Source organism: Homo sapiens, chromosome 1 (assembly GCF_000001405.40).
Source record: "Homo sapiens chromosome 1, GRCh38.p14 Primary Assembly".
NCBI lineage: Eukaryota > Metazoa > Chordata > Mammalia > Primates > Hominidae > Homo > Homo sapiens.
Window position 1 is genome coordinate 37,693,678 of NC_000001.11, and position 19,116 is coordinate 37,712,793.

The following is a 19,116-nucleotide window of genomic DNA, read 5'->3' on the forward strand; positions in this document are numbered from 1 at the left end:
AGTCAGCCACTGCGCCCGGCCAGAAAATAGTATTTTTAAAAATATATGTATATTTTACCCATTTAAAAATGAATGAATAAATGACATGGTTAGTTAACCAGAGCTCAGATAGAAGAATAACCCGAAGCAGCTCCTTCTGCAGCTTATGGAAATTGCTAACCTAAAAATGGGCGCATCAGGCTGGGCGTGGTGGCTCACGCCTGTAATCCCAGCACTTTGGGAGGCTGAGGCGGGCAGATGACCTGAGGTCAGGAGTTCGAGACCAGCCTGACCAACATGGAGAAACCCTGTCTCTACTAAAAATACAAAAAAGTTAGCCGGGCGTGGTGGCGCATACCTCTAATCCCAGCTACTCTGGAGGCTGAGGCAGGACAATCGCTTGAACCTGGGAGGCAGAGGTTGCGGTGAGCTGAGAGCACGCCATTGCACTCCAGCCTGGGCAACAAGAGTGAAACTCCGTCTCAAAAAAAAAGACACATCAGTTTTCCTGGCCAGAGAAAAATCCCAGCCTGTTTCTGCACTCCCTTATTAAATGTCCGGAGAAATGCAGGAGGCTGTACTTTTCTGCTGGGTTGCCCTTTTCTGTTTTCCTTATTATTAACTATCCAGCATGTAGTCTCCTTCCTGGATAGAAATGCATGGTCTGCTCACATATTAGACATTGAATGATCCTTTTGACTTGCCCTTTTATTTATTAAGCCATTCATTTGCTTATTTCTCCAAATACTGAGCATGTGTCAGTCACAGTGCTAGGTGCTAAAGATGCACTAGGGAATAAAACAGACATTGTCTCTGCCTTCAGGAACATACAGATTAGTAGAAAAGAGCTATTAGAAAAATCCACATACAATTATGTAATTAAAAGTATAGGTACTACAAAGGAGATAGAATAGAGTAGTGGTCAGTGAGCATATTGTGCTTTCTATGCCAGATGGGCATTGTACCAAGTGTTTTACATACATTAACTAATTTTTCTTCATAACTAATAATATCCCTATTTTTCAAAATGACAAGATTAAGGCACAGAGAAATTGGACACTTTGCTCAAGGCCTCATAAGCTAGTTAGTGGGATAGTCTGTTTGAACCCAGGTATTCTGGTTTCATAGCCTGAGATCTTAACTGTTTTACAAGATACTATGAGAGTTTCTAGCAGGAGGTTCTAACCTAACTTTTTATTCTACATGTAAATCTCACAAAGACCTTTTCATTCAACACGTTTACTGTACATCTATTGACTGCTAGATTTTTGCCAGAAGCAAAGGATGTCATCTCTGGAATTCAGTCCAAGGCAGGGATGGACATTTAAACAGCTTTGAGTAGTTATTGGGTATAATGAGGGTGAGCAACTAACTCTACACTTTGCAGCAAACTGCTGAGATAGAAAAATAAGCAGGCTGGGCACAGTGGCTCACCTGGAATTCCAGCACTTTGGGAGGCCAAGGCAGGTGGATTACTTGAGCCCAGGAATTTGAGACCAGCCTGGGCAACATAACAAGACCATATCTTTAAGCTTTAAAAAAAATAATTAAAAATAAATTTTTAAAAAAGAAAAATAAGCAGAGGGCAGGGCATAGGGTGGGGATTCATGCCTATAATCCTAGCACTTTGGGAGGCCAAGGCAGGAGTATCACTTGACCCCAGGAGTTCAAAACCAGCCTGGGCAACATAGCAGGAGACCACATCTCTACTTAAAAAAAAAAAAAAAAAAAAAAAAGACAACCTGGACAACTTGGCGAAACCCTATCTCTACAAAAAAACACAAAAATTAGCCGAATGTGGTGGCGCATGCCTGTAGTCCCAGCTACTTGGGAGGCCAAGGTGGGAGGATCAGTTGAGCCCAGGAGACAGCCAAGGAGGCGCCACTCCACTCCAGCTTGGGTGACAGAGCAAGACTCTGTCTCAAAAATAAATAAAATTTAAAATATATTTTTTAAAAAGAAAAATAAGCAGAATTTTTGGGGTGATGTTTGAGCTGAGTTTTGAAGGATGAGTTAGAAATTTGTTAAGTACGGAGGTGAATTTCAGGCAGAGGAAATACAAAGTACCATGGCAACAAGTCATGAGAGTCAGTGGCACATTTGGGATATAACTTGGAGAAAGAATAGATTAGATGGTGAAGGTCCTTGAAGGTTAGACCAAGGGCTGGACCAGTTTTAGAAAGATAAATGGTACTATTAGGCAAGATGATTTATTGTTAAAATGTAATAGTAACTACAACGTTCTTTTTAAAGCCCTTGGAGGAAACAAACAGGCCCTGGAAGAGGCGGCAACAGTAAGTGACCTTTCCTATTTTCCAGCCAGTGGTTACTTAAGTCTAGTCCAGTCCCCAGATCCAACTAATAGATGCTTACTGTGGAAGAGGTTTCATAAAGGGACATCATCTGTTTGTGTCAACTGAAAAATTAGAGTTGGACCAGACACTGTATACATGAGACCCAGATAGTTCTGAGCCCTACAGAAGGTGGCAGTTCTGTTTTTGACCAATTTCTTGCAGTCCTTTGTTCTGAACTCTACAGCGGAAGTAGAAAGCCTCAAGCCCAAGTTCCTTTAAGCGCCTGAGTCATTACACTATGCATTGGCCTGCTAGATGATAAAGGTGTTTCATCATGTCGTACTGTAGAAGCAGTGCTTTTGCTTGGGATGCTCAGTATTCCCCAACCCCTCTCATCTCCTTCCTCCCAGCATCAGTGCCAGGATTGAAGGCAGTAAGATGGGGATGCAAAATAGAGCATTTAAAGCTGCACTGTCCAGTGTAGTAGCCACTGGGCATATGTAGCTATTTCAGTTAATTACAATTAATAAAATTAAAGAATTCATTTCCTCAGACATACTAGCCACATTTTACATGTTCAATACCTACATATGACTAGTAGCTACTCCATCAGAGAGCACAGAAATAGAACATTGCTACTCTTGCAGAAAGTTTTATGAGACAGCATTGGGAACTAGTCCATACATGGGCTTCACAGAGTCCCTAGGCACTCTAAAATAATATACAAACAATGCGTGTGTATGCACGCATTTGTGTATCTTTCTGTTAGTTTATTGTAGCCTTGATCAGATTTACAAAGTAAACCCCAAAATTACATCTTTTGTTGAGTTGATCAGAATCATTTGGAATATCAGGGTTTGAAGGAGTCTGACCACCAAGGGCACATAGCAGATCTCCGCCAGCTTCATTCAGAAGGTAAAGGTAATGAGGAGCCAATTATCAATTTGGAAAAAATTGGAGCATTTGGGAGAGAGGTGGGGATTATTCACCCCCCTACATACACTGAGCTCCAATGTTTTAAAAGAGTTACCTCTGAGATGAATTATGCTTACTAGCTAATGCAGTTCTCTCTTTTTAAATTAGAAATACAGAACTGCAAATGAGAACTTCTAATGTAATATGAGAGAGCCATTGTTACCACACCAAGTTGAGAGAATTCTAGCCTTGACTAATATGATTTAAAACTCCAGAAAGGAACGATAGAAAATCTATAAAAGCTCTTAGTTGGGAAGTGTGTTGGGGCTCCCAAGACCACCTCCAGGTTTGGTGATTCACTAGGAGGATTCATGGGGCTCAGCATACAGTCACACCCATGGCGATGATTTATTACAGTGAAAGTATACAAAGCATTAATCAACAAAGGAGAAAATTGCATAGGACAAAGTCCAGAGGAAACCAGGCTTCTAGGAGTCCACTCCCTGTAGAGTCAAACAGAACATGCTTAATTCAACACATATGAAATGCTGTCTACCAGAAAATCTGATTAGAGAGTCAATGCCCAGAGTTTTAACTGGGGGCTGCTCACATAGGCATCCTCTGCCTAGCACATGTCAAAATCCTAGACTTTCAGGAGGGAAGTAGGTGTTCAGCATGAGCCATATTGTTTGCATAAAGTTTAGGCACAGTGAGGCATCTTGTTAAGGAAAGGTGGGAATCTTTCTGAAATCAAGTTCCCAGATGCCAACCGAGGCCAGGCTTGCAAACAGGCCTTTCTATGTGTATCAGTCTCAGGCCTGCTCTGTTAACTGTCCTGCACAGTAGATGCCCAGTGGCCTGCCACCACTGATGACTCCATAAAATGCCAGTTGTTTCTAGAGATGGCAGAAGGTTGGCAGGAATGCCCCTACTTTCTGTTGCATCAAGCCTGGCAAACATCAGTAACTTATTACAGCCCTATTTCTTGCTAAGCCTAAGACAGCCTCAGAATCCTTCTCTGAGTATGTCAAGCAGTCCCTACCAGAAATGAAACCTGTGCCATTCCAAACCTGTAGTAATTATTCTGATGTTTACATGTGTTCTATAAGGAAAGGACTGTGAATCATGACTGCTCTTTGTAGTGCCCATACTTATTACCATATGAAAAAAAAACGAATTTGAATGGTGACTGGAAGCCTTTTTGAAGGACCCAGGATCATCATAGAAAACCTTATTGAGACCCTGTAGATTTATCGAAAAAATGGTAAGCTTGACACACCACCAAGTGTTGTAGAGGATGTAGATCATTAGGAACTTGTATTGTTTGCAGATGGGCTGTAGTCAAGGGTAACCACTTTGGGAAACAATTTGGCATAATGCGAAGGCTGAATATTTATGTAACCTATAATCCCTGTCATGTCCTATCCAAAGGATAGAGCCAAGGGGAAACTTGGACATGTACCTCAGACACATGTAAGACAGTTCAAGGTAGCAGTGTTTATAATAGCAGGAAACTATTGATGGAAGATGGACAAATCCATTGTGGTATATTCACACAGTGGGATATGATATAGCAATGAAAACAAATTAACTACAACCACAAAGAGTGGTGAAAACAGCCAAAACCAAACAAAATGCTTAAGTACACACTTGTGAAAAAGCACATCTGTGTGTGCACACATGTATACACACATATGCATGTATCTGTGAGCACATACACATGTACCTTTCGATAAAGCAAGTGCAATGATATGGTTACCCCTGGGGAATGAAGGATTAGGAGACTCATCACCTTTGGAAGAAGAGATAAGAAAATGGAACAAGGAATGAATACAGAGCCAGAAGCAAGTTATTGGCAATGTTTTAGGTCTTGGGCTGTGTGGTGGGTTTATGGGAGTTTGCTATATTGTATATTGTATCACTAACATTTAACAGTCTTATGTATTAAATAATAGTTTTAAAAAAGTTTTTATCTTGAAATATTGTTCCTCATATTTTGGTGGAATAAGCCTGGTGCTTTCTGGCTATGTTTGTCATAGGCTGACCTGGATATCACCGAAATAAACAAACTAACAGCAGAAGCTATTCAGACACCCCTGAAATCTGCCAAAAGTGAGTACCTTTCAAAACTCCTTGTTGTACAGAAAGAACTGAGGCTCAGGTTGCTTGGTTGGCTGCTCAGGCAGCGCCTTGTTGGTAGAGCCTCTTCCCTTTAATGTCTGGTTCTTAATCTTGTAAATCCAAAAACTTGCTTTTGGATGGTGCATTTAGTTAATTTTTTTTCCCCCGAACAGCAATTCAAACCAGAAATTTAGTTAATTTTAGGCAGGACTGCTAAAAACCAAACTCAAGACCCGTGTGCGAGCTAAAATGAAAGTGAAAAAAGGGGGGAAAAAAGCTGTGCTAGAAACCAAACATTGTTGCCTGCTTACTTTCTCCTGGGTTAAATAGATGACAAGATTTAGAGAGGTGTTAAAAGACTGGTAACACCAACTGAGACGCTCCCTGATGTAATCAACAAAGTTGAAAGCGAATTGAAAAAGGAATGACTTTCTCTGCATATAATTCAAAATTACTCAATTCAGGCCAGGTGCGGTAGCTCACGCCTGTAATCCCAGCACTTTGGGAGGCCAAGCTGTGAGGATTACTTGAGCCCAGGAGTTCAAGACCAGCCTGGGCAATGTAGTGAGACCTTGTCTCTGAAAAAAAAAAGAAAGAAAGAAAGGAAAGGAAAGGAAAGGAAAGGAAAGGAAAGGAAAAAAAAAGTTACTCAGCTAGGCGTGGTGGCTCACGCCTGTAATCCAAGCACTTTGGGAGGCCGAGGTGGGTGGATCACGAGGTCAGGAGTTCGAGACCATCCTGGCTAATACGGTGAACCCCCGTCTCTACTAAAAAATACAAAAAATTAGCCGGGCGTGGTGGCGGGCGCCTGTAGTCCCAGCTACTTGGGAGGCTGAGACAGGAGAATGGCGTGAACCCGGGAGGTGGAGCTGGCAGTGAGCTGAGATCATGCCACTGCACTCTAGCCTGGGCGATAGAGCGAGACTCTGTCTCAAAAAAAAAAAAAAGTTACTCAATTCCATGATCTATCCACATAAAATCATCTTACATACATGTCCCGCACTCTGAGAAACACTGTCTTATAGGAAAAGTTGTATGGGAAACCAGGTTTTGACTAGTGAGCAAGGAATCGGATCAGGATGAATTGTGACATGGACTTAATGTCACTGTCATTAAGCTATGATAGTTTGATGCATCCAATTCTTATAAGAACATCCTGACCCATGGCCAGGATTTCGGGGCTACACACCAGGGCACGCTCTACAGTAGGCAGGGCAAGCTCAATTATTCAGAATGCTGGGCTGTCCCTACAAAGCATCATATGGGGTCTCTTAACACTCTGGTTAGTTTCCTTTGTCTAAACCCTCTTTCTTAAAAAGTCTTCTTTATTTTTAGTCCATTTCTTCCTTGCAGCTTAAGATTGTGTACATTTTATTCCTATAAGAAATGTGAATGCACAAAACTTTATTTTCATCAGAAATACCACCCTGTTGAAACTGTTTCTTACAGCACGAAAGGTAATACAGGTAGATGAAATGATAGTGGAAGAGGAAGAAGAAGAAGAAAATGAACGTAAGAATCTTCAAACTGCAAGAGTAAGTGGACACTGAGGTTGGAGGCTGGGGGTTATCACAAGACAAGCAAATACAAATGCATAAAATACACTGTTGTACACCAGAGCTCACAGTTTAGTAGAGATGATCCTACTTTACATGGCAATGACAAAAGAGATAATTGACTGGTGTGCAAAGTGTGTAGAACACAGAAGAGGAAGCTAGCAAGCCTCCCCTACCCCACTAGGACATAGACAGGCCTTTCAAGGTGAGTGAGAGTCTACTAGCTAGAGAAGAAAGGGAAGAGGAACAGTATTCAGGATAGATGGGGGAGGCGGAAAACTGAAGATGAGGAAACCAGTTAGAAGCCTATGAATTCTTGAACTGACATGCTGACACTATAGAATGAAGGGATGGTTTTTAGATAGGTTTTAGAAAGAAGTGGCATGGTTGGTGGAGAAAAGGAGGAATCAGAGACAACTGCATGGTTTCTAGCTAAGGCAAATGCTATCCAGTGAGGTGTGGGACCCAGGTGGCAGAGGGTGCTGGACTGGGGGTGGTGGAGCACATGCCAATTGCATGACATGTTGACCATTCATTACTTTTCCAGGACATCTAGGCTAGACAGAAATTTCAGCCTGGAGCTCAGGGAGAAGAGGGAGATTTGAGAGATACACTGCCTCCCAGATCTTTAGGTGTTTGTCCCAGTGTGGGAGTGGAGATGGTTGTGCAGGGAGAGCAGGAAGGGAGGGAGTCAGGGTGGACACTAGAGGGAGGGTAGAGAGAGGAGCTCCTAAGGCAGACTGCCAAGGAAGTTAGAGAAGCAGGAAAGACAGATCCATCACGGAGGACAAGGGAGGAGAGAATATATGGAAGATAAGGAGTGATTCTTGCCAGGGACCTCCCAGGCCCCAGGAAGGGAGCACTGCAGGGTTTGCCTTTGATTGGGCACCTGGGACGCCCTGAGTGACCTTCACAGCAGCCCTTTATGTAAAGTAGTGGGGTACAAGCCAGGCTGCAATCAGTTCAAAAGAGATTTACCTTTAATCTTGGTCAAAATCCTCTATTTTGAAAACCCAGCCAGTGGAAGTCCTTATTCAATTAGTTATGTTCTGAACTTTTTAAGTCATTGAATTCTGAGATACACCTTATTATATTTAGTATTAACTATCCAAAGCTTGTTCTTAATGCTTTAAAAAAAAAAAAAAAACCCTCCTTACCTTCCTCTTTGCTGGGTTTTTTGTAACCTTAGTCTCATTTGATTGTGACTGCAGGTCAAAAGGTGTCCTCCATCCAAGAAGAGAACTCAGTCCATACAAGGAAAAGGAAAAGGGAAAAGGTAGTGGATTTTCTAAAGTTGTGGTGTTTTGGGTTTTATTGGAGAGCCATATATATCATGGCAGAAAGTGAGGGGCAGTGAAAAGGCTCTGGTGGCTAGTGTTTGAAAGCAGCTTAAAATCACTGAATCCTTGAGTATCCAAGCTGGAGGGGTCTCTAGAAATGACCTAAACCAAAACCATCTCCAGTACTTTAATGTACATTCTCTATCCTTCCCCACTTTTTTTTTTTTTTTTTTTTGAGACGGAGTTTCAATCTCGTTGGCCAGGCTGGAGTGCAATGGTGCAATCTTGGCTCACTGCAACTTCTGCCTCGCGGGTTCAAATGATTCTCCTGCCTCAGCCTCCCGAGTAGCTGGGATTATAGGCATGTGCCACCATGCCGGCTAATTTTGTATTTTTAGTAGATGCGGGGTTTCTCCATGTTGGTCAGGCTGGTCTTGAACCCCCGACCTCAGGTGATCCACCCACCTCAGCCCCCACTTTTTTTTTTTAAGTATAGCAAGAACTGCCTGTTATGTTTCAGTTCCTGATAGTCCATATGTAGAGCTACCCCATAGCTCGTCATAGAGTGGCTGTCACTTACCTATAATTGGTTTCTTGAAATGTTTTGTCCAGTCCTGCAAAGTGAAGAACCTCTATGGGCTTGAGTTGATTATACTGGACTCTACCATAAGCCATGTGGGGGAAGGTACAGCAGCTTAGGAGAGTAGTCACCGGGATGCATGTCTGTGGAGGAGCGAACTCATTTCTCTTGAGCAGTGCAGCAGCTGCCTGGCACAAGGACAGAATTCCAGCTGGGGGAGCCTTCGCATGAAGAGGCTGTCTCCTTGATTAAAAAGTCAGATTCTGAGGCTGAGTGTGGTGTCTCACACCTGTAATCCCAGCACTTTGGGAGGCCAAGGCAGGTGGATCACTTGAGGTCAGGAGTTTGAGACCCGCCTGGCCAACATGGTGAAACCCTGTCTCTACTAAAAATACAAAAATTAGCCAGGTGTGGTGGTGCATGCCTGTAGTTCCAGCTACTCGGGAGGCTGAGGCAGGAGAATCGCTTGAACCCAGGAGGTGGAGGTTGCAGTGAGCCAAGATTACGCCATTGCACTCCAGCCTGGGCAACAGAGCAAGACTCCGTCTCAAAAAAAAAAAAAAAAGTCAGATTCTGGAGGCAGACTACTTTGGTTCAAAGTTTTGGCTCCATCCTAATTGGATATGTGATCTTGGGCAAGTTTTTAAAACTTGATGCACCTGAGTTTCTGCATCTGTGTATGAGGATGGCAGCAGTGCTGGCCTCCCGTGTTAGAAGGGTCACGTGAGTCGATGTGTGCGAGGCGCCCGGAGCAGTATCTCACAGTCAGCTCTCCACGTGTCACTCCTCTGCTGCTGCCTTCGTGGAACCTGAGAGTTGGCATACCTGATGGCCATTTCTTACCTGTAGGTCAAGCCGTGCTAACACTGTTACCCCAGCCGTGGGCCGATTGGAGGTGTCCATGGTCAAACCAACTCCAGGCCTGACACCCAGGTTTGACTCAAGGTGAGTATCGAGGGAAACACTTGGATTTGATGGGACTCCAACATTGAGCACTACCCAGAGAAGGAGTGTCTAAGAAAATACTCCTAGGCCAGGCACGGTAGCTCACGCCTGTAATACCAGCACTTTGAGAGGCCGAGGCAGGCGGATCACTTGAGGTCAGGAGTTCAAGACCAGCCTGGCCAAGATGATGAAACGCTGCGTCTACTAAAAATACAAAAATTAGTTGGGTGTGGTGGTGCACGCCTGTAATCCCAGCTACTCAGGAGGCTGAGACAGGAGAATTGCTTGAACCCAGGAGGTGGAGGTTGCAGTGAGCTGCAATTGCACCACTGCACTCCAGCCTGGGCAACAGAGTGAGACTCTGTCTTAAGAAAAGAAAAGAAAATAGTCCCGAGTCCTTGGCCTGGGATGCCTTGTCAGAGGACAGTGGCCAGCTGGGTTTCCTGGTGTATGCCTCTCCCTTAAGTGTAGTTTCACCTATCTTCAGTGGCAAAATGATTCTTTAATGGGAGGGAGGTGAATATTCTGCCTGTGATGACTAGGAGGCCTCTAGGTGACGTTTTTGGCCTTTTCTGATTCAAATCAGAAGGTTTTTATTTTATTTTTAAAATATTTATTTATTATGAGGCAGGGTCTCACTCCAATGCCCAGGCTGGAGAGCAGTGGCACAATCACGGCTCACTGCAACCTTGACTTCCCGGGCTCAAGTGCTTCTCCCACCTTAGCTCCCAAGCATGCCACCATGCCTGGCTAATTTTTTGTTTTTTTGTAGCGATGGGATTTCGCCAGGTTGCCCAGGCTGGTCTCGAACTCCTGAGCTCAAGCAATCTGCCCACCTCGGCCTTCCAATGTACTGGGATTACAAGCATGAGCCATCACACCCGGCCTCAAATCAGTTTTTTAAAGATGAGTAGGCACTCTCCTGTACTCTTGGTAGAAGTAAAAATTGATACTGCTTTTTTGGAGGCTGGCATAAGCGAGGATATTCTTGCAGCATAAGTTAATACCTTCCAAAGAACCTAGTTGACCAAATAGGAGATGCTGTATAGCCATTAAAAAAGACTGGATCTGTGTGTGCTGACAGGGAAAGAGCACCGTGATCACAGAGCATCTCCGAGCAGGTTGCTGAACACTGTGCTGTATGATCCCATTTGGTTTTATATACATACAAAGTTTCTGGAAGGATAGATAAGGAATTCAGAGTGGTTACCCCTGGGGAGGAGAGCAAGAAGTGGTTATCTCTGGTGTGGGGAAGTGTTGAAGATTTATTTTCTACTTTTAATTGCCACTTTTTTTTTTTTTTTTTTTTTTTTTTTTTGAGACGGAGTCTCGCTCTGTCACCCAGGCTGGAGTGCAATGGCACAATCTCGGCTCACTGCAACCTCCACCTCTCAGGTTCAAGCAATTCTCCTGCCTCAGCCTCCTGAGTAGCTGAGATTATAGGTACATGCCACCATGCCCAGCTAAGTTTTGTATTTTTAATAGAGACAGGATTTTGCCATGTTGGCCAGGCTGGTCTCGAACTCCTGACCTCAGGTGATCCACCCCCCTCGGCCTCCCAAAGTGCTGGGATTACAGGTATGAGCCACGGCACTCAGCCAGTTCCCACTTTTCTTTACTGTTTGTTTTCTCACATGAATATGTAACAAAAGGCATTTAGGGAAAACTAGGTAGCAGTATTTTAACTGTCTTGAGAAATTAGTATAATGATGTAATATCTAAATCATCCTCCTTTGCCTCTGAAAAATTCCTCTTGATGGAAGCAGCCACGCCTGGAAACAATTAACCAGCGTATTTCTGGCTTTGTGGATGGATGGATGATGGCACCCATATGGAGCTTTGGACCTAAACTTTATGTGGATAAGAGTTGGCTTTTTGTAAGATGTATGTTCAATAATTACAACCTTCTTTCTCCAGCTGTGTTTAGTCATTACTGCTTTAAAACATTTTTTTTTTCTAAATTTAGAACGTGCTTTCTTAGGAATGTATGACTTAAAAACTGCAACTTGAGGCCAGAGTAAGGTTAAAATGGCCTATAGAGTTTGGTGTCATCCAATTGCCAAGCTATCTTCACAGAGATTTTCCCATTCTAGGGTCTTCAAGACCCCTGGCCTGCGTACTCCAGCAGCAGGAGAGCGGATTTACAACATCTCAGGGAATGGCAGCCCTCTTGCTGACAGCAAAGAGATCTTCCTCACTGTGCCAGTGGGCGGCGGAGAGGTGAAGTATTTCCAAGGGAAGCCAGGCCACAGTGTGCTGCTTAGTCAAGCATTTCTTTTCCCTGGGCCCTCACCCACGCTTCACCCTCAGAGTCCTTTCAGTGCGTGGGTCCTGATCTCCACACTTCTGCGGGACTCAGAACCCAGTTTTCTCTCCCAGGTTAGAGGCCCAGACTGCAAAGATCGTTGCTCAGCTCTGGGTTCTGTTTTTCTGTTTTTTGGTTTTGTTTTTGTTTTTTGTGGGTTTTTTTTTTTTTTTTTTGAGATGGAGTCTTGCTCTGTCACCAGGCGGGAGTGCAGTGGTGCGATCTCGGCTCACTGCAACCTCTGCCTCCTGGGTTCAAGCGATTCTCTTGCCTCAGCCTCCTGAGTAGCTGGGACTACAGGCACACGCCATCATGCCCAGCTAACTTTTGTATTTTTGGTAGAGATGGGGGTTTCACCACGTTGGCCAGGATGGTCTCGATTGCTTGACCTCGTGATCCGCCCTCCTCGGCGTCCCAAAGTGCTGGGATTACAGGCATGAGCCACCGTGCCCACCTTTTTTTTTTTTTTTTTTGAGATGGAGTCTCACTCTGTCGCCCAGCCTGGAGTGCAGTGGCACGATCTCAGCTCACTGCAACCTCTGCCTCCCAGGTTCAAGTGATTCTCCTGCCTCAGCCTCCTGAGTAACTGGGACTACAGGCACATGCCACCACACCCGGCTAATTTTTGTATTTTTAGTAGAGATGGTGTTTCACCATATTGGTCAAGCTGGTCTCAAACTCCTGACCTCAGGTGATCCACACACCTCAGCCTCCCAAGGTGCTGGGATTACAGGTGCAAGCCACCACACCCGGCCTCCATCTGTTCATCAACTAACATTTGCCCATCCGATTGTAGTAGGCCCAAGAAGTAGACATGGGGCCTGCCCTTAGAAAGCAGCTCAGTGGTCAAGATGGGTTTGCAATCATGGTACCTGTGATATGCGCAATAATAGAGATGTTAAAGGGTGGTGCAGAGGAGGGCACCACCGAGGTATGCGCTTAGTCTAGAACCCGGACCATGAGCTGTGCCTTCAGCTTTGTATAACTTAAGGGATTCTGAAGCAAGCTGAGCTCAGTGTCTCTGGGCTGCATGGAGCGAGTTGCTGACCTCAGCCCCTGTGAGGGGAGGACGGTTTGTTTCAGACATACTCTGCAGGGCATTTCTTAGATGATGTGCGTGCCTTTTGTGCCCAGGTAATCCAGCCTCCACCCTAGTGATAGTGCTGATGAAGTCATTGTCTCCTTAGAGCTAATATCCTTCCTGCCTGTCTTGCCACTTCTCCATCCCAGCCATTCCCCACCACTAAGTGCAGGATATCAGGGGAACCTAGGGGTTCCGGCCCTAAGGGCCATGGCCAGTTTAACCCACTCCCCTTTCTATTCAGAGCCTGCGATTATTGGCCAGTGACTTGCAGAGGCACAGTATTGCCCAGCTGGATCCAGAGGCCTTGGGAAACATTAAGAAGCTCTCCGTAAGTCTCATATTCATCTCCACACATAGGATGCCTCCAGTAGCTTTCTTGGGCTACCTTTATTTAGGATTGTCTTTTGGGCCTGGGCTAATACTTTCTACTTAAATTTGTGTTGTCTTCCTTCCCCCAAGAGATTTTGACTCTTACCCTACTTAGATAGCAGCAGTTCTGTTCCTCAGTTGATGTTGAGTTTTGTTCAATCCCAGGGTGCCTGCCACAGAAGTTCCACTGCAAAATCAAAATTCTGCCTCATTCAGGCAGTTAGTGCTAGGGGTATGTTAGGTCACTATTGGCCACCAGAAAGTGAAACCTAGAGTAGCTCAAGAATGAGGGTCGGGGCTTGTTATCAGGAATCTTACAGAATCAAAGAGCGAGCTGAACGGCCAAGCCTCTGGAGTGGTGGGGCCCATCAGCTGGGGCCTGTGTGCTCATTTCTCTCACACATCTTCATTCCTCCCTCAGCAGATAACCTTCTCCACAGGCTCCAGGTTCTGTGCTTACTTAACATTGTTTTGCATGTGGCTTTGAGTAACCACACCTCCAATCCCAACTTTATTGCTCTATTGCCCAATTGTTCAATTTCTTGTCTTGGTTTAAATTCTGAAGAGGGCCAGGCACAGTGGCACACACCTGTAATCCCTGCAGCTCAGGAGGCTCAGGTGAGAGAAATTGTTTGAGCCCATGAGTTCAAGGCTGCAGTGACCCATGATCGTGCTGCTGCACTCCAGCCTGGGTGACAGAGAAAGACCTCAGCTCTAAAAATAAAGTAAATTATCAATTTAATTTAACTGAAGAATGTAATGGCTCCGCCAGGGATGAACCTCCTTGGTCTGGTCAGCCATCATCTTGGGTGGTGGATGAAGCACTTAGTGTAAACATGGCAACCTTACCCTCATCCTTCTGTGGGGTCTGAAGGGTACATCCAAGGAAGGGGACAAGGCGGGGCTGGTTTCCTAAACCTGTCTTTCTGAACATAGGCCCAGTGCTGAGATCCCACACACACCTAGCCACCCAAATCTTGTGACTGTCATCCTCTAGCTAGATCTATTGCAATGTTCTTCTCAAATCTATGATACCTTTACTGTCTCACTTGAGTTGTTATTTTACTCCCTTGTTCAGATGAGAAACAGGTTCAGAAAGGTGAATTCATGTGTGATACAGATAGAGAATGGAGGGGCTCAGGCTGACTGTGGGAGGCCAAGGGGCAAGCCTGCCAAGTGACATCTTCTACAATGACCTCTCTCCTTTTCTTTTTAGAACCGTCTCGCCCAAATCTGCAGCAGCATACGGACCCACAAATGAGACACCAAAGTTGACAGGATGGACTTTTAATGGGCACTTCTGGGACCCTGAAGAGACTTCTTCCCTTCAGGCTTATTGTTTGAGTGTGAAGTTCCAGAGCAAGGAGCCATGTTCCTCTAAGGGAATTCAGGAATTCAGACGTGCTAGTCCCACACCAGTTAGGTAGAGCTGTCTGTTCACCCTCCCATCCCAGCTGATCCCAGTCACTGCTTGCTGGGGCCATGCCATGGAAGCTTCCCATCAGTCTCCCAGCTGAATCCTCCCTGCTCTCTGAGCTGCTGCCTTTTGCCTCCTGCAACTCAACATCCTCTTCACCCTGCCCTGCCTGCAGTTGAGGGGGCGAAGAAGAACCCTGTGTTCTCAGGAAGACTGCCTCCACCACCGCTACCCAGAGAACCTCTGCATCTGGCATTTCTGCTCTCTATGCTTGAGACCGGGAGGTTTAGGCTCAGATAAGTGAGCTCTGGGCCATGAGAGGGTAGGTCCAGAAGGTGGGGGGAACTGTACAGATCAGCAGAGCAGGACAGTTGGCAGCAGTGACCTCAGTAGGGAACATGTCCGTCTACCCTCTCGCACTCATGACACCTCCCCCTACCAGCCCTCCTCTTCCTCCTCCTCCTCCTCCTGTGGGAGGTGGTCAGTGGGACTTAGGGATCTTTCACCTGCTGTGCCCAGTAGTTCTGAAGTCTGCTTGTGGAGCAGTGTTTTATGTTTATCCCTGTTTACTGAAGACCAAATACTGGTTTGGAGACAACTTCCATGTCTTGCTCTTCTACCTCCCTAGTTAGTGGAAATTTGGATAAGGGAACTGTAGGGCCCAGATTCTGGAGGTTTTATGTCATTGGCCACAGAATAACTGTCTCTAAGCTATCCATGGTCCAGTGGTCCCTGCCAAGTCTGTAGACTTCAGAGAGCACTTCTCTCTTATGGGGTTCATGGGAACAGGGGTGGGTGTGACTTGCTTGGTGGCCTCATTCCATGTGTGCCTGTGCCTGGGGCATGGACTTTGTTAAGCAGAGTCAGCAGTGAGGTCCTCATTCTCCAGCCAGCCTCTCTGCCCTGGAGAATCATGTGCTATGTTCTAAGAATTTGAGAACTAGAGTCCTCATCCCCAGGCTTGAAGGCACATGGCTTTCTCATGTAGGGCTCTCTGTGGTATTTGTTATTATTTTGCAACAAGACCATTTTAGTAAAACAGTCCTGTTCAAGTTGTATTCTTTTAAGTTCTTTTATTCTCCTTTCCCTGAGATTTTTGTATATATTGTTCTGAGTAATGGTATCTTTGAGCTGATTGTTCTAATCAGAGCTGGTACCTACTTTCAATAAATTCTGGTTTTGTGTTTTCTTTTGTAATCACTGTTCATCCTGCCTGTCCTCTCCAAGCTGTGCTCTGTGGACTAGGGAGACAGCAATTGTGTGGGAGTCTTTGCACATCTGCTTTTCTCAGATGTGAAAACCTTTGCTTTGGGCAGATTCATTCTGATATCTGAAAGAGGGGCTTACTACAAGATCCAGAGCATCGGTACCTTCAACCCCCAGCAGAGCGCCCCCAACACCTTCATTCCATGAGCTAGAAATTTGTGTCTGGGAGGACAACACCTAGGGTCTCTGTAATTTCCCAGTATAGTAGACTTTTCTTGGCCAGGAACAAAGCGGGGCAAGAGTAATTCGGTGATCATGAGTCTCACTTCCCAAAGTTTCTGAGGCCCTGGCAGATCTGCCTTCCCGGAACTCTCTAGGCTGAAAATGATCAACCTAGAGCTAATGATGCAAGAGGGTTCTGCCTAAAAGAAGACAACCTGGGGGCATACTTAGCCAGGTTATTGGGTATTGACAATTTATAGACTAGGAATCTTCTGGTAGTGACAGCATTTGGAAGAATGGTTACTCAGTGCAAATAAGCAACCCAGACTATATGTCATCAGGCCTAAAGAGCCTGACACCAAGGAAACACTTAGGATCCAACCTGCTTTACCCAGAACCAGGTTCATCCTGTTTCATTCCATCTGCACCACTGCCTAAATCACCTAGTAGGAAATGCATGTTATGTAGCAGGTGCCTAATTAACACCTGGGACTGAGACATGGCAGTTCTTCATTTCATATAAGGGGCTGGCTTGGAAAGTAAAGAGTTCCCCATCCCAGGATTGATTGATTGATTGATTTTTTGAGACAGAGTTTCGCTCTTATTGCCCAGGCTAGAGTGCAGTGGTGAGATCTCGGCTCACTGCAACCTCCACCTCAGGTTCAAGCAATTCTCCTGCCTCAACCTCCCAAGTAGCTGGGATTACAGGTGCACACCACCACGCCTGGCTAAGTTTTGTACTTTTAGTGGAGACAGGGTTTCGCCATGTTGGCCAGGCTGGTCTCCTGACCTCAGGTGATCCACCCACCTCCACCTCCCAAAGTGCTGGGATTACAGGTATGAGCCACTGTGCCCGGCCCCATTCCAGGATTTTTAAAAAAAATTTTGTTTTTTATCATTTGGTATTTTTGTTGATTTATTTTGTAGAACTTATGTCCCCACCATCCCAGGATTTTTAAGTACAGGCTGAACTATGTCACAGGGCTGGGACAAAGACAACCTAAATCTTACTGCCAGCCCCCAGACATACTTTCATACTCGTTGGGTTGGGTTTGGGTTTTTTTTTTTCCCCAAATTAGTTGCTAACCATTTAAATATCGGGCGATTACACAAAGATTGCTAGCCTCTGAAAATAAGATCAGACAGCACGGGCCAACAGTCAGCTGGAGCTCAGTAGCAGCTTTCCTTGGCCCGCAGAGAATCCTCTACCGGTTCAAAGCAATCCTGATGAGATTACTTCTTCCCTTGATGTTACCTGCCTTATCTCTGTAGGCAATTTAGTTTTTACTGTCTGCTGTGGAGAGAAAGCATAGAACAGTAGGGCTGCCCCAGGTTGAAGGGAGAATGGAGGCCTGGAGTCCATCCCCAGGGCCGCTGAGGCAGTTTTAAGGAACCCCAGAGGTCCAGTCAACAGTAGGTTCATTCTTTGTCCTACAGGGCCCCTGTTATTTCCAAAAGCCCTACTTGGGGCTTCCTGTTGAGAAGATTACAAATGTATTATCTTGTGACGAGTTAGATTATATTACTCATATGAAGAGTTAGCTCATGTGCGTGTGTGACAGGACATCACCTAAGCATTTCTCCAAAGCATCAGACATGCCTTTTACCAGGAGGAATTAATATCCCCAGCCTGACCCATGATAATGAGTTCACATACCAATGCAGGGCTTAGCTCCACGATGTATCCCCAAACCTCTGAAAAACAAAGCATGTCTCAGTGCCTACCTGTGTACACACTCTGGTGGGTCCATTTTCTAATTTTACACAGTATCATAGCTGTTGACCCATACCTAAAATTCAGCATGACATATGTACTCAAAACTTTCATAGTAGATACAATTCCTGTGGCTCCAGAAATGGAAGGACTGAGAGACACTCTTCAGAGAGGATTCAATCAGAATTGGGGGCTACACTGGGCTCCCTGCTAAAAGGGGGGTCTGGAATCCAATTTGCTTTGCCTAAGATGCCATCTCCCTTTAAGGGATTAAACATCTCCTCAGCCCTGTATCATCCCTACCTGCATCACCCCACCTGTCAAGCCTCCACCGTCCCCTCCCTGCCAGCTGTAACGTGCACTTCTTGCCTTCTACACTTTGCCATCATCCTTCCCTCAGCTGATATTAGGATCTGCATGGTTCATCTTTCCTGATCCTTGGGTGGTGGATATGGTGGAGGACAAACATACCCTTGGCACCAAGATACCAGCTCCATCTGCAAATTTTCAGTACCCACAAGCACACATACGTCACAATATGCTAAGAACCATCAGGATGGAGACAGGTGACAATCTTCAAGGATACACTCTTCCAATCAAATGCCAAGGTCACCCTGGCAAACCTCCTCCTCTTCACTCTTCATAAGGCCCCAGGTGAGGGTCAAGGAGGAATGCTGGCTGGGAGCAGTGGCTCAAGCCTGTAATCTTAGCACTTTGGAGGGCCGAGGTGGACAGATCACCTGAGGTCAGGGATTCGGGACCAGCCTGGCCAAAACGGCAAAACCCCATCTCTACTAAAAATACAAAAATCAGCCAGGTGTGGTAGAACATGCCTATAATCCCAGCTACTTACTGAGGCAAGAGAATCACTTGGACCCATGAGGCAGAGGGTACAGTGAGCCGAGATCATGCCACTGCACTCCAGCCTGGGTGACAGAGCGAGACTTGTGTCTCAAAAAAAAAAAAAGAAAAAAGAAAAAAGGAATGCTGTGGGGTGGAGGAAGGAAAAGGGGCCCAGGAGAAGCCTAAATGAAAGGGGAGGAAAGGTGCTGCAATGGGGAAACAAGTTTGGTTTTGATTTTTTCATTTTCCTCTTACACTTCTACAAGCAGTCTTGATCAAACATATT

The 19,116-nt window shown here is 45.3% G+C and overlaps 1 protein-coding gene across 2 annotated transcripts in view, besides 1 other annotated feature; it reads left to right on the plus strand.

The window, feature by feature from the left end:
• CDCA8 (cell division cycle associated 8) overlaps nt 1-16,042 on the plus strand; it is a 17,204-nt gene extending 1,162 nt beyond the window's left edge. For both annotated transcript variants that reach the window (NM_001256875.2, NM_018101.4), the window contains 8 exons: nt 2,233-2,273; nt 5,228-5,300; nt 6,759-6,844; nt 8,077-8,141; nt 9,575-9,670; nt 11,764-11,890; nt 13,301-13,387; nt 14,645-16,042. In NM_001256875.2, the coding sequence (NP_001243804.1) occupies nt 2,233-2,273; nt 5,228-5,300; nt 6,759-6,844; nt 8,077-8,141; nt 9,575-9,670; nt 11,764-11,890; nt 13,301-13,387; nt 14,645-14,689 (620 nt within the window). In that variant the 3' untranslated portion in view covers nt 14,690-16,042. The remainder of the gene's footprint in view (nt 1-2,232; nt 2,274-5,227; nt 5,301-6,758; nt 6,845-8,076; nt 8,142-9,574; nt 9,671-11,763; nt 11,891-13,300; nt 13,388-14,644) is intronic.
• Nucleotides 17,866-18,066: a silencer, noted in NCBI's record as "peak183 fragment used in MPRA reporter construct". NCBI's record gives its function as "represses an SCP1 promoter by STARR-seq MPRAs in K562 erythroleukemia cells {active_cell/tissue: K562}" and the evidence as "EXISTENCE:reporter gene assay evidence [ECO:0000049][PMID:32103011]".